This window comes from Homo sapiens, chromosome 6, assembly GCF_000001405.40.
Source record: "Homo sapiens chromosome 6, GRCh38.p14 Primary Assembly".
In the NCBI taxonomy this organism is placed as follows: Eukaryota; Metazoa; Chordata; class Mammalia; order Primates; family Hominidae; genus Homo; species Homo sapiens.
The window spans coordinates 124,937,233-124,963,493 of NC_000006.12; the positions used below are offsets into that span (position 1 = coordinate 124,937,233).

Sequence of the window (26,261 nt, forward strand, 5' to 3'; positions counted from 1 at the left end):
AGTAAGTAGAAAAATCACCAAAGATTATTATTAGGACTCTCTCTCTCTCTCTCTCTCTCCTTCTTTCTCTAGGCTTGTGGGCCTAAATAAAGAAAACATGCTTCTCTCTATACCATATCATATTATTTATGGAAATTCTTTTTTATCCTATCCTGACAGTAACCAAAATCATTGCCTCAACTCTCCCTTCTGTTTTGACTGTGAAGTTTTGGTTTTTAACAGTAAGTATAACTTAGGAATTAACCAAGTTGGAAAATTTTTATTTGTCATTTATCTTCCCTTTTAGTTTTTGAAAATTCTTCTAAATGTGTTCTGTGTTTTGTTTATTTAGCAGTCAAGAAAAATTGCATAATTTTTAAATGGAAATAACTGAGAAATTCTGAAATCATTAAGGGATTTCAAAATGTGGAAACTTTAAGAACAGAAATGTTCTGGACTAAATATCTAAACAGGAAAGCTAACAAACTGATTTTTTTCATTTCTGTATTTTATTTTATTTTTTATATTCAAGTTGTCTTCTGTGAAGGATGACAGAATGTTAGATCTCAGCGAGATCTTAGAGGCCACCTAGTTCGGCCTCTCATCGCTCAAACATGAGAACTGAAATCATGAAAGCTACGTAACTTGATTCAATTATATAACCAATTGATGACCAATTTGGCACTAGAACACCGTGTTCTTTCCACTCAACCCCAACTTGAATGAACTAATTAACTTCTTTGAAAAGAGTTATAATTCTGTTTGCTTTTATACACTCATCCCAAGGGTCTAATGTTCCAAGAAAGCTTGCTCTCCTCCCGGTTACCTTTACAAGACACCTTGGGTAGATTTTCAGTAGACACATCCTTCTTCCCTTCTTAAGGTAAGAATGGAAGGGTGGAATTGTTATCTACCATATCCTACCTTTTTATCTATGGACATTGTGCCTTCTCTGAGATCTCTTCAATATATTCCAATGAACTAGCATCACCACCAGGCATTTTAAAATGACTTTGGGAGTGGTGCAGAGGCAAGATGATAGCAAAAGAGAAGGTACTGAAATGTAGGAGGTTATCAGGAAATAAAATGAAGTGCAGATAAATGAAGAACATCCAGATACAATTACATTTGAAACCAATAAATCTAAGGTAATAGAAATACATTTGTGTGGATGTTCCATCTGGAAAATTAGGTCAAACCATTTAGTCCATTAAATCACAATAATTTATCCAATATTTTGCTTGCTAAGGAAGTAAAGAAGGAATTTTTAATGCCAAATATATGGCTAAATACTCTGTTCCAGAACATTTTGTAATCATGTTTTGATTGCACAGTTTCAGAGAAACTGCTTTTCCTATCCAAATCCACTGCTGTTAACTCCTTAAAATTATATCCTGTTTCTGTCTTAATAACTTCCCCACTCCCACCTTCCCCCTTCCTCTAAGTGAATACTCTCCTGTTTTGCTTCTGCCTCTCCTAATTTATCTCACAGAGTTCCTTGCCAGGATCTTCTGCTCCTCTTGGTACTCAACTGGTAGTGAGAATTTTACCTCACAGTTTCATCCCCATGTTACTGAATCCCAACCTGAGCACCTCGTTTCTTTTTTTTAAATTTCAGTAGTTTTGGGGAAACAGGTGTTTTTTAGTTACATGGATAAATTCCTTGGTGGCAATTTCTGAGATTCTGGTGTGCCTGTCACCCGAGCAGTTTATACTGTACCCAATGTGTGGTCTTTTATCCCTCAACCCCCTCCCACCCTTCCCCGAGTCCCCCAAAGTCCATTATATTATTTTTATGCTTTTTTACTCTCATAGTTTAGCTCCCACTTATAAGTGAGAACATACGATATTTGGTTTTCCATTCCTGCGTTACTTTCCATAGAATAATGGTCTCCAACTTGACCCAGGTTGCTGCAAATGCAATTATTTCATTCCTTTTATTAGCTGAGTAGTATTCCATGGTGTATATATACCACATTTTCTTAATCCACTCTTTGGTTGATGGGCATTTAGGCTGTTTCCATGTTTTTCCTATTGTGAATTAGTACCCTGTTTCTTACTACAGAGTAGTTCTATATTTCCAGCTGCCTAAAGGGCATCTTCTCTTGGAAGGGCAACCATTAAACAATCAACACACAAGGCCAGGTGCGGTGGCTCATGCCTGTAATCCCAGCACTTTGGGAGGCCAAGGCTGGCAAATCACTTGAGGTCAGGAGTTCAAGACCAGTCTGGCCAACATGGTGAAACCCCAACTCTACTAAAAATACAAAAATTAGCCAGACGTGGTGATGGGCGCCTGTAACCCAAGGCACTCAGGAGGCTGAGGCAGGAGAATCATTTAAACCCAAGAGGCCGAAGTTGCAGTGAGCTGAGATCACACCACTATACTCCAGCCTGGGTGACAGAGTGAGACTCCGTCTCAAAAAAAAAAAAAAAAAAACCACAATCACTACTGAGGAGACAAGGGTGCAGAATTTTAAAGAAAAATAAGAAAAAAGCCCTAACCTCAAAGTACTTAAAATTATCTGTAGATCACAATAGATGGACTAACAGAGAAACTGAAAATAACAAGAAGAGATTAGTGGGTGATAATATTTGAAAGGTAAGTGAGGTTGCAGACTGCAAATGTTCTCAAGACTCCAAAAATCGGTGTAAATATCAACAGGTGATGAGAGAAGACTGTCTTCTGTCTTTAGTCATTCATTAAGCAAATATATTGAGGCATGTAAGGCCTAAATATCAAGCATTCTTCTAAACACTGGGGCAGATTTTACGGTAGTGAAAAACTGCCACAAGGTTCTATTTCATATGGAGCCTTCATTCAAATGAAAAGTCAACAAATAAATAAGCGAAATAAATAAAAAAGATAATTTCATCTGGTGATGAATGCTATGAACAAAATAACTCTTAGTGATGTGACAGAGAATAACTGAATAACTGTGGAGGTTATATTTCAGCTGAGACCTGGATTCAGAGAAGGAAACAGCCATGCCTAAATGGGGCTGAATGGGGGTGGGGAAAGTACATTCTAAGCAAGGGTAATAGCAGGTGCAAAGTCCCTGAGATAGAAATAAGCTTGGCATATACAGGAGTCTCATAGGTATACAGCATAGTGTGAGAAAATGAGAACACTATGGGATGAAGTCAAGAAAGTAAAATGAGCCAGATCATGTTTTTGCCCAAATAAGAGGTTTCAATATTTATTCTGACTGTTCATGATAACAATAAATTGATAGCACTTCATTTTACAACATAAACAAATCTACTGAATATGTCATTAGAAATAGGATAACTAGCAAATAAAGCACATATTCAGAAACATAATATCTGTTAGTGTTTTAACCAGTATTCTTTAAGGCTCAGAGACATGAAGATGGTCACTAGAGAAATGTGGTATTTGCAGACTAGTGATGCTTCAACAGAAGCTAGGTTAAATATATACCCAAGCCATCTTTTGCTTAAAGCTTCAGTTTTCCACGTACTTTGACACCAGGAAGGGAGATGTCCTAGAAAAGGACTTCAGCAATTTGGTACCTGAGAGAGCCTCTTGGAAATTGGTCTTTGGATCAAATTATAAATTAATAAATTGATATTTACTTTGTTTTTCTTTTGTGGAACTCTACTTTGAATTTTCTTAGCTATATTTCATCATGTAGGAGACTAGTTAGACCTGAGTGAATTAACAAAGTTTATTCATTTATTCTACAACAAACATTGTGTTCTGATCATATAACTGATCTGATGCTGTAAGCTTCAGTTATAAGATGTATAAATAATGGCCCTACCTTCAAGGAGTTGATGGTCATGGGGAAGAGCGATGAGCAAACAAATAATTACATGACAGTGAAAACTGCTGTGTTGGAGGTAAGCAGTAGACAATGTGTGTAGAATATTGATACCCAGGAATAACTTCAAATCAAGCCAGAAAAGACAGGAAAAATGAGGGAACCCCTTGCTTAAAGACACAAATATTACAACTCATTAAACATTTTTTTTAAAAAAACTAAGAACATGGTGCTGTTGATAACCAATAAAATACAATGCAATACAATGAAAATTTTTATTTAAAAATGTATATTTGGAGAAAGAAAATCTACCTAAAATCAGTAGGTAGATTTAGTGAATGTTAGATTAACTTAAAATATTTGTCTGAAAATATTTCATGAGAAAAGTCATACCTTCTGTGATTGCTCACACATATGATGCATGTCATAGACTATGCCATCTGTTTAGCAAATCATTCATTGTCTTCTGGTTCAAGGGTAATTGTGAGATAGTGTACTGATAGCTGGAAAGTCCCTTTTCAAAGTAGTCTGGAAGAGATGCACAGGTGCAACAATTTGCAATAATATTTTTAAAACAGAATATATTCCACTCTTTCATGTCTAAATTCCTATAGAGAGCCAAAGAGAGCAAGAAGATATTTGTTAATGGATAATGCCTTTGAGGGACTTGGAGCTTATTCCTCATATGAGAACCAATCAGGCCACATTTCTCCCAGAGACCATCTTCTCTAGTTTTCACTCTGGATTAAATCTGAATTTCTGTAGAAAACAATTAGACTTAGTTTGTGCTTTTCTCTCCTTTTCATGAATAATTTAGTTTATCTGTAAATTACTAATTGGGTTGTTGATAATTTTAGATTAATATCATTAGAATTATATTTTAAGATTATAGAGATTAATATGGAATTGAAATTTCCCCTGATGCTTATTTAATTGAATGGGGCACAAAGAAGCTTTCTAAAACATCTTCAAGCAAACCCAACAAGAGCTTTAAATAAGATTACATTTTAGTCATTCTCACAAATAGTTCTGATTTTGTTCCAACATTTTAACAATTTTAAATTGTTTCAACAATTTTATGAAAAGTTTTAAACATAAAGAAAATTGGAAAAAATATTATGGTAAACACTCACATACCCACCACCTAAATACTACCATGAATATTTAACTATGTTTATTTTTCATTTATCTATTCATCTATCCATCTTTCCATTCATTAATCCATCTGATGTTTTTGATATAATTCCAAATAAATTGCTGACATCTGTACACTTCCTTTAAATACTTGAGCATGCATATTTAGAATATTTTTTAAATTTATAAGCATTGGCAAATGTATGTATTGATATAACCCAACCCTGTACAAAGACTTTATCATCCCCTCAGAAAGTTCCCTCACTCTCCTTCCCAAGGAATCCCTTCCTCTACTGCCAAGGACAACTATTGTTCTGATTCTTTCTACTATGTTTTATATTGACCTGTTTTTAAAACTTCATATAAATGGGATAATATCGTAGGTGCTTTTTTGTAAGGTATCTCTCACTTAGTATAATATTTTTAAAATGTATCATGTTAATGTGTGTATCACTTGCTTATTCTTTTTTTATTGCTGGATAATATTACATTATGTAAGTATACTACAGGCTTTCAGATACATTTCCCTATACTTCCAGGTTTTGACTATTATGCATAAAACACTTGTTTTTGTTTTCCTTGGGTAAATAGGTAGAATTGGAATTATTGTGTTATAGGGTAGGTATGTTTAGTTTATATTCAATCGTTAGATCTTTTCATGTATGAGAATTCTACTTGCTCTGCATCCTTAACAATATTTGATATTATTAGTCTTTTTAATTCTACTCATTTTGACAGATGTGTAGCCCCTTGAGGTTTTAAAATGTATTTTTCTGATGACTAATGATGTGCACTTTTTTGTGCATGTCATTCATCCATATATCCTTTTTGTGAATTTCTCTTTTCAAATCCTTTACCTATTTTTTATTGGATTGTTTAACATTTTTATTATCGAGTCATAGGAATTACTTACATAACCTGGCTACCAGTCTTTTTTTTTTTTTTTTTTCTGAGATGGAGTCTCACTCTGTCGCCAGGCTGGAGTGCAGTGGTGTGATCTCAGCTCACTGCAACCTCTGCCTCCCAGATTTAAGCGATTCTCCTGCCTCAGCCTCCTGAGTAGCTGGGACTACAGGCACGCACCACCATGCCCAGCTAATTTTTGTATTTTTAGTAGAGACCAGGTTTCACCATGTTGGCCAGGATGGTCTTGATCTCTTGACCTCGTGATCCACCCACCTCAGCCTCCCAAAGTGCTGGGATTACATGTGTGAGCCACCGCGCCCAGCCAACTTATGTAACCTGGATACCAGTCTTTTATTATCAGATATGTTTTTAAAATATTTTCTCCCAGACTTCAACTTCATGGTTCATCTGTTCTTTTGATGAGCAGCTTTTAAGTTTAACAAATTGATAATTTATAATTTTCATTACAGTTGTTACTTTCCATATCTAAGACATTTTTGCCTATGCCCAAGTCATAAAGACATTATTTTTTGATTTCCTTAAAATCCCAATGATTTAGGCTTTTATATTTAGGCCTATAAGACATTGCAAGTTAATTATTATATATGGAATAAGGTGCAGATGTACTGTCATTTTTTTCAAGATTAGTACCTAGCTATTTCAGCATCATTTATTGAAAATACCTTATTCTTCATAGTATTGCTTAGAGACTACTGTCAAAAGTCAAATGGCTGTATAAAGCATGTGCTTATTTCTGTGATATTTATTCTGTTCCATTACTCTATTGGTTGAACCTTATGCCAGTATCACACTGTCTGGATTAGTGAGAGATTTACAGTGAGTCATGAAGTTAGGTAATACGTTCTCCAACTTTGTTCTTTTCCAAGACTGCTTTGTCTATATCCAGGTCCTTTGAATTTCCATGTAAATTTTTGAATTAACTGGTCATTTTTTACCAAAAAAAAGGTCTTTGCAGTGTGTTAAATCTATAGATGTATTAGGGAGAATCAACATCTTTACAATAATGAGTCTTTCATTTCATAAACATACTATATCTCTATTTATTTAGCTCTTATTTTATTTCCCTCAGCAATATCTTGTAATTTTCAGTATAGGAGTCTTCTACACTTTTCTTAAATGTACTGCCATGTATTTCAGTTTCTGATACTGTTGTAAAATTTTCAGTTTCATTTTATGATTGCTTATTGCTTATATTTGAAAATACAATGAAGTTTGCATATTAATTTTGTAACTAACCTATGGCATTGCTAAATGCACCCATTATTTCTAAAAACTTTTCCATAGATTTTGTAGGATTTTCCTTGTAAACAATTATGTCATCTACGATTTTAAAAAAAAGCAGACTAACTTCTTCGTTTCCTCTAATATCACTATTTTTTTCTTGTTGCACTGGCTAAGACCTCCAATATAATGTTGAATATAGATGGTGAGAGTGGACATCCTTCCCTTGTAATGCAGGACATTATAAAACTGAAAAAAAGAAGGGAATAAACTCAGAATAAAAAATAATTCCCAGAAAGCATTGTTATAAGTTTTGCTTTAAAGACTATGTAATTTAAATAAATTGAAAATAAAACATTTTATATTTCAATAATACAATATTTAATATTTCTGATCCTCTTAATATTTTAGGATAACAATTTCTTTCTGGTATCATTTCTATTCAGCCTGAAGAACTTTCTTTAGCACTACTCTAGTAGAGGTAGGTTTATTGGTGATGATTTATCTTAGTTTCCTTTGATCCAAAATGTCTTTATTTCACCTTTACTCTTGAAGGATATGTTCATTGAGTGTAGAATTCTAAGTTGACAGTTGTATGTTCTTATTGTTTTACACTTTAAACATGTTGTTCCAATATATTTTGGCTTCCATAGTTTCAGATAAAAAGGTCAGTAATAATTTGAAGCAGTGGTCTCCTTTATGTAATGTATAAGTTTTCTCTGGTTGCTCTAAAAATGTTACTTATATTTGGTTTTCAGCAACTAGACTATGATAAGCAAACATTGAATTTTCTTTATATTTATCCTGCTTGAAGTTTGTCAAAATCCTTGATTACTAAATTAGGGAAACCTTGAGATATTATTTTCTTAAATATTTTTAACTCCATGATCTCTCTCCTCTCCTTCTGAGACTCTAGTTACTTGCGTATGAGATATTTTGCTCTTCCCTTACTGGTTCCTGGGGCTTTTGCTATTTTAAAAAATGTTACCCTCATTTTCAGATTAAATAATTTATATTTACCTGTCTTCAAATTTTATTGGCTCTTTCCTCTGTCATCACCTTTCTGCTGTCATTCCCAGGAAATGAATTATTAAATTTCATATATTGTCTTCTTCTGCTAGAATTTTTATTTGGTTCTGTTTTCAAGTATCTGTAGTTTTGCTGAAATTTTAAAATTTATTATGAGATTTTCCTTCAACTCACTGAGTATAATTAAAATATCTGCTTTAAGTATTTGTCTGCTAATCCCAACAACTGGGTTATCTTGTGGTTGCTCTCCGTTGATTATTTTGCTTTCTGAAAATGGATCACATTTACCGTGTTGTTAATGTCAAAGAATTTTGGATTTTATCCTGAACATTGGAAATACCATGCTGTAAAAACTCTCAATTCTTTATATTTCTCCAAATTGTTGATATTTGCTGCTTTAACAAGCAATTAACTTGGCTAGATTCCAACTATCAGTGCTGTCTCTTTGTAGCAGCTTGCATCTCAGTTTAATTATTTTATTATTAGCTTAGCTGCCTGCAGTGTGCCCCGTGCTTCTGTGTTTCAGGGTCAGGCAGGGATCTTGGCAGAATTAATACACAGAATTTGTGGTTTACCCTTCTTGTTCTCTCTTTCTGGGATTTTCTCTTCATTTTCTGGCAGTTGATGTTGCCCTAAACTTTGTCCTCTGGGAATGTAAACCCCTGATTTTTCTATCAAGGTTTCTGCCACCCTGTACAGTGTAGACCATGGCCAGTCCCTAGGTAAAAGCCATGTAAGTAGAAGACTCATTATGAGCCAGTTAATTCTTTATGAGCTACTTACTTCTAGAATATGCCTGCTTTTGTACACTGTCCGGAGCTTTCAGGTAGTGTGTGTGTGTGTGTGTGTGTGTGTGTGTGTGTGTGTGTGGTTTCTACTTGTTTAATTTTGGTTTTGATTCACTATGCAGCTGTTGCATGAGGAGGGTCAATCCACTAGGAGCTCACATGGCCTTGAAAGCCAAATTTGGTTGTCAGTTTTTGGAATTTTAAAAACCTATAGAATTGTTAAGCCTCTAGAAGAAAAATATCAATTGCAGTGTCTTAAATGTCAAGGAAAATAGATATGTGTTTAGAGAAGTCTTATTTTCTCTTGAACTAGCTCCCAGTTTACTTTCATAGCCTTCAGAAGAGTCAAAGTCATGATATGACCCCCTTGCAACATTTTATTGTAACAGTTAGTATACTTTAGACCTAGAAGGAACAGTTATCTACAGTTGAGCTAGTGTTGACATTTCAGAGACATAGATTCTGCAGAAATGGAATAGATTCAAGTGACACAGGTAAACCTTCTAATTTTGCAGATGAGAAATTGAAGACCAAATGATTATGTGATTTAAACTTTAGCATATATCAGAATCAGCTAAAGTTCACTGATGTCGCACATCCAATAAGAGCTATTTGGAACGTATCTTAGGAATTTTACTTCCATAATATATCGCTACATATTACTATCTCTCTTTTGGTTGTATTTACAGCCGTATTATTTTATGAGCTGCTAAGAATCACGGGGGGGTCTTGAGTGGTTGGTATACACAGGAAAATAAAGTCAAAAGGCATCTAGCTCTTCACCTATATGTAGCTTTGTCTCTGTCTGCTCATCTTTTAAAGAGAATTATAACACGATTCCAGGGGTAGGAAAACTTTACCTGTAAAGTGGCAGATAGCAAATATTTTAGATTTTGTGAACAACATTCCATTGTATATTATTTGTTTAACAGCCCCTTAGAAATGTGAAAATCATTCTTAGCTTTAGAGCTGTACAAAAACAGGTGGTAGACTATAGTTTGCCAACTTTTGCATATTAGAATTCCTGCTGTAAAATGTTGAAGCATCAGATGAGATAATACAGGTAGAAAACATTGTAAATCATGTTATTTATATGTGTGATATTATTAATGGTAATAGTTACCCATTGTTATTTGGAGGGCAACATAAAGGCCTGAGGGAATTGAACAGAGATAAGGTAGGTTTTCATAGGGGAATGAGGTAGGAAAATTCTAGAAAAATGGTGGGAGATACTATTTTCCAAGGAGTAGCATGATCCCAGCACTTATACCATGAGCAAGGTATGGTAGGAAACACCCACACACATGTTGATTATTTCACAATATTTTTGTAAACCCAACCTTAGCAAAAAGAATCTGGTTGCTTTGGAATTAGAGAAGAATGGCTAAAATCAGCGATCTCGTCATCTCTAGCCAAGAATATGGCATAATTTGACTTTCTCATAATTTCTTTTAATGTATTTTTTCAACAAACTTTTGAATTTCTCTCTCAGTTCCTTTTTAACTCTTATTTCATAGTCTTTCAAATTAGTATTGTAAATTTAAAGATGATCATACTCTTGAATTTTCACTACTGCCTTTTAATGAACATAAAATAATTTTGTCTAGAGGATATAAAAATACTTTATGAATCATGATTTTCTGGGAGAAACAAGCAAGTTTTCTCAAGAATGAATTCTTAATTCAAGTTCATTGACATTTATTACTGATAACATTAAAAATTACCCTAATTTTATTTATTTTTTTCTATGAACTTAAAAAGACTATTCTTAAAATAATAACATAGCATATTTTCTAGAGCAAGGGACTGAGAATTCTTACAGATCTATTACTCACTATAATAACTGGAGATTAGCAGATCACGACCCCATATGCCTGTAGAATTTCATGCACACATGCCATTTTGAGAAAAACTGGCACCATGATGGACAGTCTCTTAGTTGTGAAAAGCCTGTGCTGTAATTCATTGTTGAGTTGTAATTTCACGATATCTCTTAGTCATGCCTAAAATTAGAAGCAAATAATCAAATAACAAATACCATGCATCACAGAACAAGCTGAATAATCATGTTAAACACATTGACTAATTCTTGAACTTAACTATTTGATGAAAAGAGGCGAGCATTGAATCAACTGATGAGGCATATGAATAATAAGACTATTACATGAGTTATGGGGAAAAAAAAAGCCCTAGATCCCAGCCACAACCTACAGACAGAATAGAATAGTATCAATAGAATCTGTTAATAGAATAACAGAATACAAATCAGAAGCACAATCACAAAAATGTGTTTATGAGTCACAACCTACTCACATTTCTCATTGGAATTACTGATTTCTATGACTAACCTTGGGACTTTTAAAATGATACTGGAAATGACAAAATTACCCTTCAAAATGTAAAATACAAAAATAACTGGGTTAGCTCTTGTTTTAAAAGAAAGGCATAAAAATTACTTCTATGAAATCACGTTAACCCAAGAGGAAAAACAACAACAAAAAGAAACACTTGGAGTCATTTAATTCCTTCTCTGTCACTCTTTTTACTACATTACAGCTATCACCATATTCAACAGATTCTACTTCTAATGGTGACTACCACCTAATAATGTCTATCGAACACTTACTCTGTGTCAGGCACAGTTCTATCAACTGGGGCAGAATAGGAGCGAAAAAGTCCCATTCTCATGGAGGTTAAAATCTAATGGGAGGTGGGGGTAAGACAATTAACAAATGAAAACATAAATACATACTACATCAGTTGGGTGAGCACCATGAGGAAAAATAAAATAAAGGGATAGAGGTGACTGAGGATGAGGTGTTGGGGGTGGTGACATTTTATTTAGGTTGTTTAAGGAAGGCTTTTCTGACAAAGGGATATATTGAACAGTGACCTGAAGAAAGTGGGGGGGGGGGGCGGGGTGGAAAAGCAACCTATGCAACATTATGAGACCCTGTCTTTAAAAAAATAATAAAATTAGCTGAGTATAGTGGTGCACACCTATAGTCCCAGCTACTCAGGTGGCTGAGATAGGAGTATGGCTTGAGTCTAAGAGACTGAGGCTGCAGTGAGCTGTGATCATGCCACTGTACTCCAGTCTGGGTGACAGAGCAAGACGCTGTCTCAGAAAAAAATAAAATAAATAAAACGTGTGGGTGGGTGCATATGACAAGCAGCAAGGGCACACCAGGCAGAGGGAACACAGATCAAGACCCTCTGGTGAAAGCAAGAATGGGACATTTGAAGGAGGTGGCAGTGAAAGTCTGTGAAATGATTGGGTGTGAGGGTGTGGCATGAAGGGTGTGTGTGGCGAAAAGATGGCACCATATAAAAGGCCTGAAGGAAGACTTTGGATTTTAACTTAGGAAGCCACTGGTGCCCCTTCCCACTTCATAGCCCATTCATGTCTCAACATAACAATGCAGCATAACAATAGGCATAACAATAACATAACACAGCATAACAATAACCTCATGTCTTGCCTCCTGGATCTCCTCCCTCTAGTGCATATTTTACTTTGCCACAATATCTGTTTGTTTTTTAACTCAGAACCGATTATGAATCTTCTATTAGAAATAGACAAAGTTTGGGTTTCAAATAAGAGACAGCGCAGTAACCTGAGATTAACAACCCTGGGAAGCTTTTATCCCCTGAAATGGGTTGAACTGTGTCCCCACAAAAGATATGTAAAGTCATAACCCCAAGCACTTCAGAATGTGATCTTTGGAAATAAGATTGTTGCAGAAGTAATTATTTCAGATGAGGTCATACTGGAGTAGGATGGGCTCAATCCAACATGACTGGTGTTTTTATAAGACGAGAAGAAGAAACACAGAGATAAGCACATTGGGAGAAGATGGTGGGGATTAGAGTGATGCAGCCACCAGCTGAGGTACACCGAGGATTGTTAGCAAGCACCAACAGCTAGAAGAGGCAAGGAAGGGCTATTCCCTACAGGTTTCAGAGGGAGCCTGGCCCTGTCAACGACTTGATTTCAGAACTATGAGAAAATAAATTTTTGTTGTTTTAATGTATCCAGTGTATGGTACTTTGTTACAGCAGTCCTAGGAAACTAATACAACTCCCTTTGGCCCAAAGGGAGAAACTTTTAGAACCCAGATATGGTAGCACCTATGGCCTTCAATACAGCATACAGGTAAATGGCAGATTGAGAGCTGAAAAAATAAACATCCTCAGCCCTCTGATTACCTGCAGTTACCTTTCATTCGTTGAACTAAATTGAAAGACAGAGGGTAATTGAAGCCATTGATGTGTGCCTCTGTGGATCAGCCTCCAGTGGCACAGAGGGAGGACAAGAGAAGAAAGAGAATCTAGAAGAAAATAGAACTATCTTGCACAAAGTCCCTGAATGGTTTGGCTGTGCCCCACTCAAATCTCATCTGGAATTGTAGTTCCCATAATGTGTTGTGGGAGGGACCCAGTGGGAGGTGATTGAATCATGGAGGAGGTTACCTCCGTGCTGTTCTAGTGATAGTGAATGAGTTCCCATGATATCTGATGGTTTTATAAGGGGCTTTCCCCTGACTTTGCTCTCATTCCTCTCCTTGCTACTGCCATGTGAAGAAGGGTGCATTTGCTTCCCCTTCTGCCATGATTTTAAGTTTATTGAGGCCTCCCCAGCCATGCAGAATTATGAGTCAATGAAACCTCTATCCTTTATGAATTACTCTAGGGTATATCTTTATTAGCAGCATAAGAATGGACTAATACAGTCCCTAAAAAACTTTGCGTCAGCTTATCTTTCCTGCCTCATCTCTTGTTCTTTCTTAACAAATAACATACAATCAGACATACAGGACAATTCGTACAATCAAGACATCAAGGACCAGTGCCACTCAAGGCACTCTACATGTTCTGCTATCATGTAGATAGCTTATATAGTCCATCTTCTAAAATACTTACTGTATTTTCCACCTTCTCCATCTGTAAAAATCTAACTCATCTTCCAGGCCCTCCATGAAGCATTCTAAGATCCCCCTAGGAAGAAATGACCCCTGCATTGCAACTCCCAGAGTCCTGAGTTTACAGTTCTCTAATTGTATCCACCAAAATCTCTCTGATATTATAGTGAAGGATCTGTCTTCTTTATGTAATTGCAAGATTCCTCAGGGCTTGAATTGACCATTTATAGGCCCTATGTGTACCACAACAATGTACACAAGTAGTGATTCATATACATTAAGTTGAAATGATAATTTTGTATTGAGATGAAGCCTAGAGTCATTCAGTTCAATCTGCCCAATTTATAGAAGTAAAACATGAGGCCCAAAAAAGTGCAGGCAAATGGACAATTAATGGAACTATAGAACTAGGATAAAGATATTTACTTGTATGGTCTGGTATCTTTCCCATACAAATATGGAACAAACATCATTGTCATAAAGCTCTTAATAGAAGCTCCAAAGTCTTACAAAGCTAAGAAAAAATAATATGTAAACGAGTTAGGAATATGTAAGTAAAAAGCTTTTTAAAATACTTGCATGTTGGGAAATTTTTAGAAAGTATTTGGGAAAATATTTTGAGTTTTACTGATAACACAATGTTTGTAAAACAGCTTGTGGTATTTAACATTCTGCAAAGGATGGCAGCTGGGTTCTCCCATTCCAACTTGGTAGCAGTATCTTAAAACATAAATAGATAAAATTATTTGCCATATTTTAAAATAAATACTACTGTATCACTTAAGCTGTCAGTTTCAAAACTTTCAGAATCATTTAATACTCTTGTTGATTTTGTCATGCAAAATGTCAAAACCAATTTCATATAGCTCATAAATAAAAATGGCAGGTTTCTTATCTATATTACCCGATAAAATGAACTTTCTTGTGTGGCAAGATTGGCTATTTTTTATATTAAACTTGTTCTTACATTAGTGGATGCTATATCTTCTCAATGACATCTTTCTACTGGGGAAAAAAATCACAAATGAAAACCTATAAAAGTTAACGATGTAGTGGTTAGTCAGTGGCAGTCAGGAGCTTCCAAGACTACTCTCAGGTTCAATACTGCTATAGAAGGACTCACAGAATTCAGCAAAGCTGTTTACCCACAATTATAGTTTATTACAGTGAAAGGACACAGATTAAAATCAACACCAAGAAAAGGCACATAAAGCATGGTCCAGGAGAGACCAGACAGAGTTACCAGTGGTCTTTTCCTGGTGGAGTTGTGCAAACAATGCTTATTTCTCCTAGCAATAATGTGTGACTTTGTGCATTGAGTATTACCAACCAGGAAACTCACCTGAGCCTTGGTGTCTGGGGTTTTTATTGGGGGATAACCACCCACATAGCTGACCTTAGTTTCTAGCACCTCCAGAGGTCAAGCCTATACTGCCTGACTCAAGGCCCCCAACATAAATCACATTGTTAGCACAGACTATGTGGCATGGCTCAAGGACCCCAAGTCAAATAAAGACACTCCTCTGGCTGGCCATTCCAAAAGCTTTGAGGTTACCTCTCAGGAGCTGAAGGCAAGAGGCAAACCTTTCTTTAGGCAAGGTTGATCCTTTACTATACAAGTGTGCCTTGTAAATTTAAAATATAAATTTCTAGAGAATAGGGTCCCCATCCTGTTGTTTCTACCCTGTACCTGAAGTGTCCAACCCAAGGTTCCAAACTGTCTTGATTTATGGTGCTCTTCTATTATTTTTCATGGTGCCTTTTAGGCCAAAAGAAATTCCTAATAGTAATTGGGTCCAAACAACTTAACAGTAGCATTTGCATGTGTTGATAGGTAATGCTGTGATTCCCTCAAGAATTTTTAATGTTCCATGTGATCCTATGGGTTTGCTGCAGTGCTTCAGAACACCTCAACCCATAGTTTGGAAAGTTCAGTTCCACATGATGCTTTAAGTTACTACAGAGTAGAATTATTATATTGTTTCTTTCCTTTAAAAATGCTTTTTTGGGATCGAAATATGTGCAGAATGCCAGGAACTGGCCTTCCATATACAGGTAAAATCTGCTCTGGAAAGTTTGAAGTGTTTCATAGATGTTATAAAGTTAATAATAAAGGGAAATCTGGAGAAAGGATTATTTTCTCTATTAAACAAGTTAGTAAACCAAATTTTCCAGAGCTTGACGCAGGATCTAACAGACATCCAGGAAATGTTTGTTAAATTCAATTGTAACACAAAAAAGGAAGACTTGCTTACCTTACTCTGTCTTGGATGTGCATGCAAATAGTAGCTTTTAACACCAAGCTTATTTCTCTGTTCATTGAGATGAAGATTTCACTCAAAAAACAACAACAACTTTCTCTTTCTTGTTCATTATAAAAGCAGAAATAGGAATTAGCATCAAAAATTAAGAAATATTAACTATGACCAAGTTTAATTTATTAGAACACTCTTGCCATTGGAAGAAGTAACGAGAAAATTCAAAAAAGATGAGGAAGGGAAACTGTCAGAACCCTCACCTGAGAAAGAAAACTATAGCATGTAATGCAAATTTGTAGGTACAGAAGGGGATTAACAGTTAATATTTAATTTTGCCCTTTTCATTTAAAAGAATATGCCCATTAATTTCAAAGTGTGATGTTATATATAGTTTTTTTTAATTCTAAAAAATCTCTTTAGAATGATTAAGGAATTAGATTCTGTCACATTCACACTATCTGATGAGATTATAAATTGGTGATAAGTTTCTGTGATAATGTGTGCCAAAAGCCTTGAAAATACATCCACCCTTTCTGCATCAATTTAATTCTTAGGACTTCATCCTGTGACATATTAGGAATGCATATAAAAATCATGTTATATGTTAATAAAATATATTCATTATATATGATATATTAACATATATTTTATATATTTTATTGAAATCATGAATGATATATTTTTAATATAATGGAATTAGTTAAATAAATTATGACATCACTATATAGTAAAATACTGTATGGCTGCGAATCATGATAATGTAAAGATGCATTAGTTGCATGAAAAATGTTGAGGATACATTACTAATTAACAAAAGCAGGAAAGGAGTATTATTATTTTATTTTGGCAATAGTGCCACTTATTAATATATATTTTATACACACAAATGCAAACACTAGAAAGAAATATACCAATGTGTTAAAGTAGTTATTTTGGGTAATAAGTTCAAGTGAAGACCTTTTTTCCTTCCTGCCTGCCCGCCTGCCTTCCTCCCTTCTCCTCTCTCTCCTTCCTTCCCTTATTTCCTTCCTCCTTTTCTCCTCTTCTTCCCTCTTCTTGGTTTCCTTTGTGTTCTAAGCATTTGGGTTTTCATTACTTTTAAAATTTAAACAAATTATACTGTTTTGTTTTATTTTTAACTTTATCTCATACAAGTTGGCTATTTGGATTTTTCCTTAGGGGATTTAGGTGGAAAAAGAAAGTGAAATGATTGTATTCCTCTCTTTTCCACCTGATGAACTCTTCCTTTCATGATTCCAAATTCTCTTCCTCCACATATAAGAGGGAAGAAATAGGAAAGGCAGGATGAACATCACACTACAACTTTCAGAAGCAGACGTAGAAAAAATTCCACCACAGACATTGCTTTTCAGGAATTGATTTTTTAAATTAAATTATTTCTATATTTTTATACCTATTTTGATAATTGAGAGATTGGTAGAAAAACAAGTCAGGTATTTGCTGTAATTGTTTCATGGCATTTAAATATTATGTATTTTTTCTCCACAATAGTTTAGAAGAAATTAGTTTTGGCTTTGATATGTAAAACTAAAATGAGTCATAGTTTTTCTGATATAACATAACATTTTTAATGAGTTAATAAATCTCAACTCTTTAACGTCTGGATAAAAAATTTCAGACAGTTCAAAATGGCTAACTAGAGGCACCCAGCACTCATCTCCTCCACAGAGAAGGAGGAAAACAGTAAGTAGATAAACATAGATCGAATACAGCATCGAAGAGAGAACACTGGAATTCAGCAAGGAAGTGACATGGAATATCTGAGGCATGGAAGGAGAGAGAAACAAGGCAGCTGGCCCAGCTGGGACCTGAGAGGAGCCAAAAGAGGCTCCCCAGTGTGGGGAAAGGGTAAGGGAGAGATCCCTAGAAGTAGACTCCTGCAGTCCTGAGAACTGAGAATAGTATAGGGAGCTGCCTGGGGTCCTTGCAACACAACTGTTCCAGATGGGAGCTCTTGCTGGGTCTAACACATTCCCCAGACCCAAGCAGCGTGGTGCTATTTTGAGAGCCCCCACTAGCCTACATCCTGCCCTGGGGCCCAAAAGCCCTGCATCTTCACATTCCTGGAACCCTGCCAATATTGATAATCCCCCATGACAACCCAGAGCGCTGCAACACGGAGACGCTGGCTGAACCTAATGGTGCTGCTGCGTTCCAAGCCCTCTAGCCCATGCAGAGTCTTACACCCCGGGGAACAGGCAGTGCAGCACACTGGGGAGGATGCACCCAGGAAGAAGTAAGGCAAAATGTGCACTCCCCAGAGCCTGAAGAACACCACTGCCACTGACAGCCAGCCCAGTCACCCCAGCAGAAGGGCCACCATGCACATGTATGTGCCTTCAATGGACCTGGTGACTGGTCCAGGCAGATGTCATCCAAGGGCCTGAGGACAGGCCAGTCTTACTCACTGCTGCTATCACCCAAGCACAACAGCTGAAGGCTTGGGGACCAACCCACCCTGCCTGCTGCTTCTGCTATATGAATGCGTTATCAGGGGGCCTAACAGCAGAGCCAGTCTACCTACCACTGGTGCCTATGCAGGCTGTCTGGGACACTGGGGATTGCCCCGCCTCACACACTACAGCCTGTGCACGCGTACACTATTGGGGACCCAAGGACAGGCCTGCCATGCTTGGCATCATGCTTTCCAGTGCTCAGGTGTGCCATCTGCAGTCCTGGAGATTGACCTGCCCTGCCTGAACCATTGGCATATGCACACAACATCAGTAGGTTTGTCATTGCCAGCTGGGCCTAACGACAGACCCAGCCTACCTGCCAATCGTGCCAAAGCATGCTCTCTGGGGGCCTTGGAATTGACGCACCTCATTTGCTGCCACCAGTGTCTATGCATGCTTTCCAGAGGCCTGAGGACAGGCCTGCCCAGCCTGCCAACACCTGTGCAAATAAACTGGGAGCCTGAGAATTGAACAGTCCCACCCACCACAGCCTGCACCCACGTGTAACACCTGGGGCCTGAGGACAGAACAGTCCTGCCTGGTGCGAGGCCTGTCAGTACTTGCACGTGTCATCTGGGGGCCTAGGGATTGATTACACAGTCTGCCATTACTGATGTCTGTGCAATTCTCCTGGGGGCTTGAGGATGGGTCCTCCCAGCCTGCCACTACCACAAAGGCTGCCACCCACCAATGTGCAACCACCAGTAGTGCATGAGGGCCTGAGTATTGGCCTGTCACTGTTACTGTCATTGTCCATACCACACATGCCACCAAGGGGCCTATGGACATGCCCACTTGCTTGACCCACCTCTGCCACTGTTGGAACCTAAGCAAGCTGCCTGGCTGCCTGCCTGGACTTGCAAATACCAGTAACGGTGTATACACCTGGGGGCCCAAGGATGGGCCCAATTGTCCTGCCACCACCATCACCATCAGAGCTCAATAACCTACCCAACTGGTGTCTCCCATCCCAAAATAGCCTCACCATATCCTCCACTAACAATTGCAACCTAAGTCACTGAGGAAAACTCAAAAATACCACTGATGCTGATTACAGCTGAAGAAATCATACAGAAACTACACACACCCAGAATCAAAGCTAAAGTGCCCTACCCAACCAACACCATAGACACATCTATAGGAAAAAGTCTTTCCTTACAAAAGCCAATCCAAAAAATTAAGAAGTGACTGTTACATGACATGTGCACGTATCAATGCAAGGATGCAAGAAACATGAAAAGGCAAGGAAACATGACACCTCCAAAGGAACATAATAATTCTTCAGCAACAGATTCCAACAAAAAAGAAATCAATTGACTGAAAACGAATTCAAAATAATGAAATTAAAGAAGCTCGGTGAGATACAAAAGGACATAGATTTAAAAACACAAACAAATCAGAAAAAACAGTTCATGATCTGAATGAAAAACTCAACAAAGAGATATCATAGAAAAGGACCAACAGAAATCCAAAACTGAATAAGTCAATGAATGAAATAAGAAATACAATGTAGAGCTTCAAAATCCACTAAGTCAAGCAGAAAAAAGAATTTCTGAACTTGAAGATGCCTTTTGTGATAATCCCATCAGACAAAAAACAAAAAAGAATAAAAAAGAACAAAGCCTACATAACATATGAGACAAAGAAGTGACCAAATATTCAAATTTTGGGTGTTCCTGAAGGAGAAGAGATGAGTAAAGGCATCAAAGAAACTCCTAGTTATGATAGATAAATTCAGCAAAGTTATAGGATACAAAACCAACATACACAGATCAGTAGCACTTCTGAACAACAATAATGAAGTAGCTGAGAAAGAAATCAAGAAGATAATCCTGTTTGCAATATTTAAAAATAAATAAATAAATAAAATACCTATGAATACATTTAACCAAGATGATAAAAGATCTCTAGAAAAAAATCTGTGAAACACTGATGAAAGAAACTAAAGAGGACACAAACAAATGGACAGACATCCCATGCTCATGGATAAGGAGAACAAACATCGTTAAAATGACCATATTACCTAAAGCAATCTACAAATTCAATGCAATCTCTATCAAAATACTAACGTTATTTTTCATGGAAATAGAGAAAAAAACATAAAATTCAAATGGAACAGAAAAAGAGCCCAAGTATCCAAAGCAATGCCGAGCAAAAAGAACAAAGCTGAAAGCGTCACACTACCTGACTTCAAATTATATTACAATGCCATAGCAACCAAACCAGCATGGTAGTGTTATAAACACAGACTCTAGACCAATGAAGCAGAATAGAGATCCAGAAATAAGTCTGCATATTTACAGCCAACTGATTTTTCAACAAAGGCACTAAGAATAAACACTGTGGAAAGGACACCCTCTTCAATAAATGGTGCTGAGAAAACTGGAAATCCATATACAGAATAATAAAACTAGATCCCTATCACTCACCATATACAGAATAATAATACTAGATCCCTATGACTCACCATATACAAAAATCAACTCAAAAAGGATTAAATACAAATGTAAATCCTGAAATTATAAAACTACTACAAGAAGCCATAAGGGAAATGCTGTAGGAGATTGGTCTAGGCAATAATTTTATGACTAAGACTGCAAAAACAAAGACAACAAAGGGAAAAATAGACAAATGGGATTAGAGCAAACTAAAACACTTATGCACAGCAAAGGAAACAATCAAGAGAGCAAAGACACAAACTGCAGAATGGGAGGAAATATTTGCAAACTATTCATCCCACAAGGGACTAATACCCAGAATATACAAGGAACTCAAAAAACTCAACAGTATAATATATATAATAATTGCACTAAAAATTGGGCAAAGGACATTAACAGACATTTCTTGTCTGTATAAAAGAAAGTCTGTATAAAAACAGACAGACTCATAGACCAATGAAACAAAATAGAGAATCCAGAAATATTATTAAGTCCACATATTTATGGCCAACTAATTTCCAACAAAGGTGCCAAGAATAAACATTGGGGAAAAGACATTCTCTTCAATAAATGATGCCGAGAAAACTGGAAATCCCTATGCATAAGAATGAAACTAGACACCTATCACTCACACAGTTGATCACAAAAATCAACTCAAAAGACTTTCTTTTATATAGACTTTCTTTCTCAAAAGAAGTCATACAAATGGCTAACAAGTTTATTTAAAAAATGCCCAGCATCATCAATCACCAGAGAAATGCAGATCAAAACCACAATGAGACATCATCTTACCACAGTTAGAATGACTATTATCAAAAAGACAAAAAATAACAAAAGGTGGCCAGGATGCATAGAAGAGGGAAATTTTATACACTCTTGATGGGAACATAAATATGTATAGTCATTATAGAAAATAGTCTGGAAGTTTCTCAAAAAACTAAAAATATAACTACCATATGATCCAGCAATCTCATTACTGGGTATTTATCCAGTAGCAGGAAAGGAAATCAGTAAATCAAAGTGACATCTGCACCCCTATATTTATTATAGCACTATTTACAAGAGGTTGATATGGAATCAACCTAAGTGTCTATCAACAGATGAATGGATAAAGAAAATATGGTATGTATATTCAATAAAATACTATTTAGCCATAAAAAATGAAATTTTGTCATTTACAGCAACATGGATGGCACTAGAGATCATTATGTTAAGTGAAATAAGGCAGGCACAGAAAGACAAATATCACATGTTCTTGATATATGGGAGTTTAAAAAGTTGATCTCATGGAAGTAGAAAGGAGAATGATAGTTCCCAGAGGCTGGAAACACAGGGGCAGATGAAGAGAAGTTGGTTATATGTATACAAACATATACTTAGATAGAAGGACTAAGTTCTAGTGTTCAATAGCACAGTAGGCTGACTATAGCTATATATTGTATATTTTAAAACAGCTAGAAGAGAATATTTGAAATGTTTCCAACACAAAGAAATGATAACTGTTCAAGGTGATGAATATCCTGTGTACCTTTATTTGATCATCACACATGGTATGCATATATCAAAATATCACATATATCCCACAAATATGTTCAAATATTATGCATTAATAAAAATGATTTAAAAAAATTGAAGGGAGCCAAAAAGAAGTCATGTTTTAATGCCAGGATAAGAAAGGCAATAATAGAAAAAACAGCATTCTAAAACTGACATAGTTTTCTGATATTGAAGTCTGGATTTTAGGGAAGGTACACAGTTCACTGCAGATTAGGACATTTTGAGGCTTTATGTTGGTAGGAGCAGGATATTAGTGATAGTACTTACGTTGTATCAACAGTTGTGTACAACCTGAGATGGAGCAGATGGTTTGAGTTTTGAGAATATTAAGCTTGTGGCAGATAAATGGAATTTTTGCTAAAATATTAAATATTGGTTAATAAAATATTTTCAACCAATCCTTCTTTAAATAATTAATCCCATCGAAACAATCATTACTGGTGCTTCATGCACTTCAGAGAAAATTCATTGTGGAACCACGATGTTAACTTTTCAATTTAATTCACTTCCATGCTGCTGGAGTCCCATGAGCACTAGATTGAATGCCAGGGGTGGTGGGTCAAGGATTCAGGCAAGTTTGGGCCAATTTGGAGGGTGGAAATAGGGAACCACATATTATTCTATTTTCACAAAGGCCCAATGAATTCTGTAGGGAAGAAGTCATGGCAAAATAAAGGGCTGCAGTTTTAAGCAGCAGAGATATGGGCGGCCATCATGAGTCCCAGCAGGGACTTCTAATGGGTTTGGTGTAGAGGACAGCCACTTCCAGTAAGCTGGAACCTAAGGGATAAGGAATAAAATGGTAAACACTGGAAGAACAAGTTCTCAGAATACGAGTGAAAAATGTGTGTGAGGAGGGGTTCCCAAAACTATAAGAGGACTTTGAGGGGTTTTATTCCAATAGACGCTGTGGGAATATACTTTTTGGCATCCATTATTGTTACTCTGGTCTTAGCCTGTTGTCACCTGGAAAATGCAGATTACTTTTATATCTCTGGAAAGAATAGTGGCTTGGTCATCAGATGGCACACTCAAAAGGCACACATAAGTAGGTTTCTTGTCTCTGTCTTTAAAACAATAAGCACTTAAAGTATCATTTGGAGAAAACAGCAGTTACCAGGAAATCACTTAGCTGAGATAAAAAAGAAAAGAATCCTCGAATAGCATTTAATCTTCAAAATAAGAATTTTCCATTCTTGGGTCAGACCGATAGATGACATGGCATTTAGACATCCAATTCATACCTTTGCTTGCAACTGAGCCTCAGACACACATATATGATGGAAATGTTCTTTGGCATTACACTGCTTTCTTAGTTTGCATCGCTAGTCACCTTTGTATCATTTGCATCTGATTTGGAAAATATTTTAGAACAACCCAATAACAACTTCGAGATTAAAAAATAAAATTCTACACACTTTACAGTTCCTTGCTATTACATGAATGTGTAAATTGAATTCCCTCTCAGGAGAAAAAAAACAAAACAAGGGCTGGCTTCCCAAAAATGTTTTCACTGGCTTTAGGGAACTAAAACACCAGTGTCTGGGTGAGTAATACTTCCTGTAAAATAAAGATAGATCAACACATAATTAAGTCCTGGCTCACATATAATTGTTGTTTTGGAAACAGTTTTGAGGATAAATATGGTTATGCTAATGAAACTGCCCATGATTTCCACTAATGATCCAGTTTATTAATTAGGTCAGGACATTTTTCCACCTTGTGCTATCCATTTTGGAATGCTGAAAAGGGTTAAAAAAAAAAACTTCTAAGAGAACACTGTAGGCGAAGAAAAAGAGAGAAATTTTAAATTAGTTATCAACTCTTCTAAGGATTCCAGTTGGAGGAGTAGATCGAAAGTGCTTTTTCGATTATTTATGGGTTTCGAAGATTCTTCCTACTCCACTAGGCAGAAAAACAGAGTTGTAATATACAGCATTTAGAATTCATAATCCTTAGCATTATTTCTCTGAACTCGACATCCTAAATAGCCAGCGTTTACTAATTCCAGAGCTGAGTGTAGTTTTGTAGGAAGTTCTACTGAATGCGGAGACCAAAGGGGAGCCTGCCTGCTCTGAGGGTTTTGTTGAGGCTGAGTGTGAACTCCGGGCGAGAAAGCGCATCTCAGCTCTTAGATCACACCCACTCAGGGTGTGCGTGTGTGTGTGCGCGGGTGCCTGCGCGCGTGTGTACGTGTGGGGAGGTGTGCGCCAAAGGGGTGGGGTGAGGGGCGGCGAGGAGGGCTGTAGGTGAAGCGCGGGGAGAGGGAGGTCGCCCGCTCCGGCCTCTCCCCCAGGGGCCCTGCGGCTGGCCAGCGCTCCGGCTGCACCTCCTGGTGCGCGCCGCGGCGGCGCCACAGGCCCCTCGACCCTTTGACCACCGCCCTCGGGCCGCGCGTCCGGCAGCCGGGACCGGTGATGGCGCGGGACTGACGGCCGTCTCCTCCCAGACCCCTCTGTCCCGCCTGGGGCTCGCTGGGGCTGCGGCGCCGCCCCGAGCTGCATGTGGGGCGGGCGCGCCCGAGCCCAGAGCGAGCGGCCCTCGGCGCCCCCGAGGCGGTGCCCCGCCGCGCCAGAGTACGAGGAGGAGCGGCGGGCCGGGCCAGGCTCCCCACGCGCCGCAGCCTCGGAGCACGGGCTCCCCGGAGGGGACTTGGGGCGTCCCAGCCCAGGAGGAAGGACCCGGAAGCAGAAGCGGAGCCGCGAGTCGAGCCGAGCCACTGCCCCCGCTGCCCGCGGGCGCCGGGTGGGGGTCCCGGCGGCTGGATGGGCAGCGGCGGCGCGGGCCGCGGGCGGCGATGGGCGAGGAGCAGAGCACGGTGAGCGGCGGCGGCGGGCCCCAGGAGTCGCAGACCCTGGCCAGTGGCACTGCGGGCCACCCTGAGCCCCCGAGGCCTCAGGGGGACAGCGCCCGGGCGCCCCCGCTGCGCGCCGCCTCCGCGGAGCCGAGCGGCGGTGGCTGCGGAAGCGACTGGGGCTGCGCGGACACCAGCGCCCCAGAGCCCGCGAGGAGCCTGGGGCCCCCGGGCTGGAGTAAGAGCCGAGCACCGGCGCAGCCTGCGGGACTGGCACTCACCGGGCCTCTCAATCCCCAGACCTTGCCACTGCAGTTGGAGCTGGAGGAGGAAGAGGAGGAAGCTGGGGATCGAAAAGAGGGAGGGGATGAACAGCAGGAGGCGCCCCCCGGCGAAGAGCTGGAGCCCAGGACCCGCGTGGGGGCCGCCGACGGACTGGTCCTGGACGTGCTGGGTCAGCGGCGCCCGTCCCTCGCCAAGAGACAAGTCTTCTGCTCCGTGTACTGCGTGGAGAGCGACCTGCCCGAGGCCCCCGCCTCGGAGCAGCTCTCGCCGCCCGCGTCGCCACCTGGGGCTCCGCCAGTGTTGAACCCTCCCAGCACCCGCTCTTCCTTCCCCAGCCCCCGACTGTCCCTCCCAACGGATTCCCTCTCCCCCGACGGCGGCAGCATCGAGCTGGAGTTCTACCTGGCGCCCGAGCCGTTCTCCATGCCCAGCCTGTTGGGAGCTCCACCCTACTCTGGCCTGGGCGGTGTAGGGGATCCCTATGTGCCCCTCATGGTGCTGATGTGCCGGGTGTGCCTGGAAGACAAGCCCATCAAGCCCCTGCCTTGCTGCAAGAAGGCCGTGTGCGAGGAGTGCCTCAAAGTCTACCTGAGCGCCCAGGTAACTTCACCCCCTTCTCTTCCCCATTTATCATTCCAAATCACTGGCGAGGAGGTCCTGCTCTCGA

At 38.6% G+C, this 26,261-nt stretch overlaps 1 protein-coding gene and 1 long non-coding RNA gene across 17 annotated transcripts in view, besides 2 other annotated features; one reads left to right on the top strand and one right to left on the bottom strand.

Moving 5' to 3' along the window:
- The window catches only part of RNF217-AS1 (RNF217 antisense RNA 1), a 54,785-nt gene extending 28,990 nt beyond the window's left edge, over window positions 1–25,795 (bottom strand). The window contains exons 1-3 of the long non-coding RNA NR_026876.1: window positions 25,591–25,795; window positions 10,699–10,866; window positions 8,067–8,207 (exon numbers count right to left, since the gene is read on the bottom strand). This is a non-coding gene — a long non-coding RNA (RNF217 antisense RNA 1). The remainder of the gene's footprint in view (window positions 1–8,066; window positions 8,208–10,698; window positions 10,867–25,590) is intronic.
- Window positions 18,081–18,670: an enhancer, noted in NCBI's record as "H3K4me1 hESC enhancer chr6:125276459-125277048 (GRCh37/hg19 assembly coordinates)". NCBI's record gives its function as "activates a minimal SCP1, AML or CMV promoter by ChIP-STARR-seq in naive H9 embryonic stem cells {active_cell/tissue: H9 hESC(naive)}" and the evidence as "EXISTENCE:reporter gene assay evidence [ECO:0000049][PMID:30033119]".
- Window positions 18,671–19,259: an enhancer, noted in NCBI's record as "H3K4me1 hESC enhancer chr6:125277049-125277637 (GRCh37/hg19 assembly coordinates)". NCBI's record gives its function as "activates a minimal SCP1, AML or CMV promoter by ChIP-STARR-seq in naive H9 embryonic stem cells {active_cell/tissue: H9 hESC(naive)}" and the evidence as "EXISTENCE:reporter gene assay evidence [ECO:0000049][PMID:30033119]".
- The window catches only part of RNF217 (ring finger protein 217), a 130,198-nt gene continuing 129,141 nt past the window's right edge, over window positions 25,205–26,261 (top strand). For 15 of the 16 annotated variants that reach the window (XR_001743178.2, XR_007059212.1, XM_011535494.3 and 12 more), the window contains exon 1: window positions 25,205–26,194. Coding sequence is in view for 13 of the 16 variants with exons in the window: in XM_011535494.3 (XP_011533796.1) it covers window positions 25,313–26,194 (882 nt within the window). In the remaining 3 variants the exon portion in view is untranslated. The remainder of the gene's footprint in view (window positions 26,195–26,261) is intronic. The other variant, NR_136734.1, reaches the window with a different exon arrangement.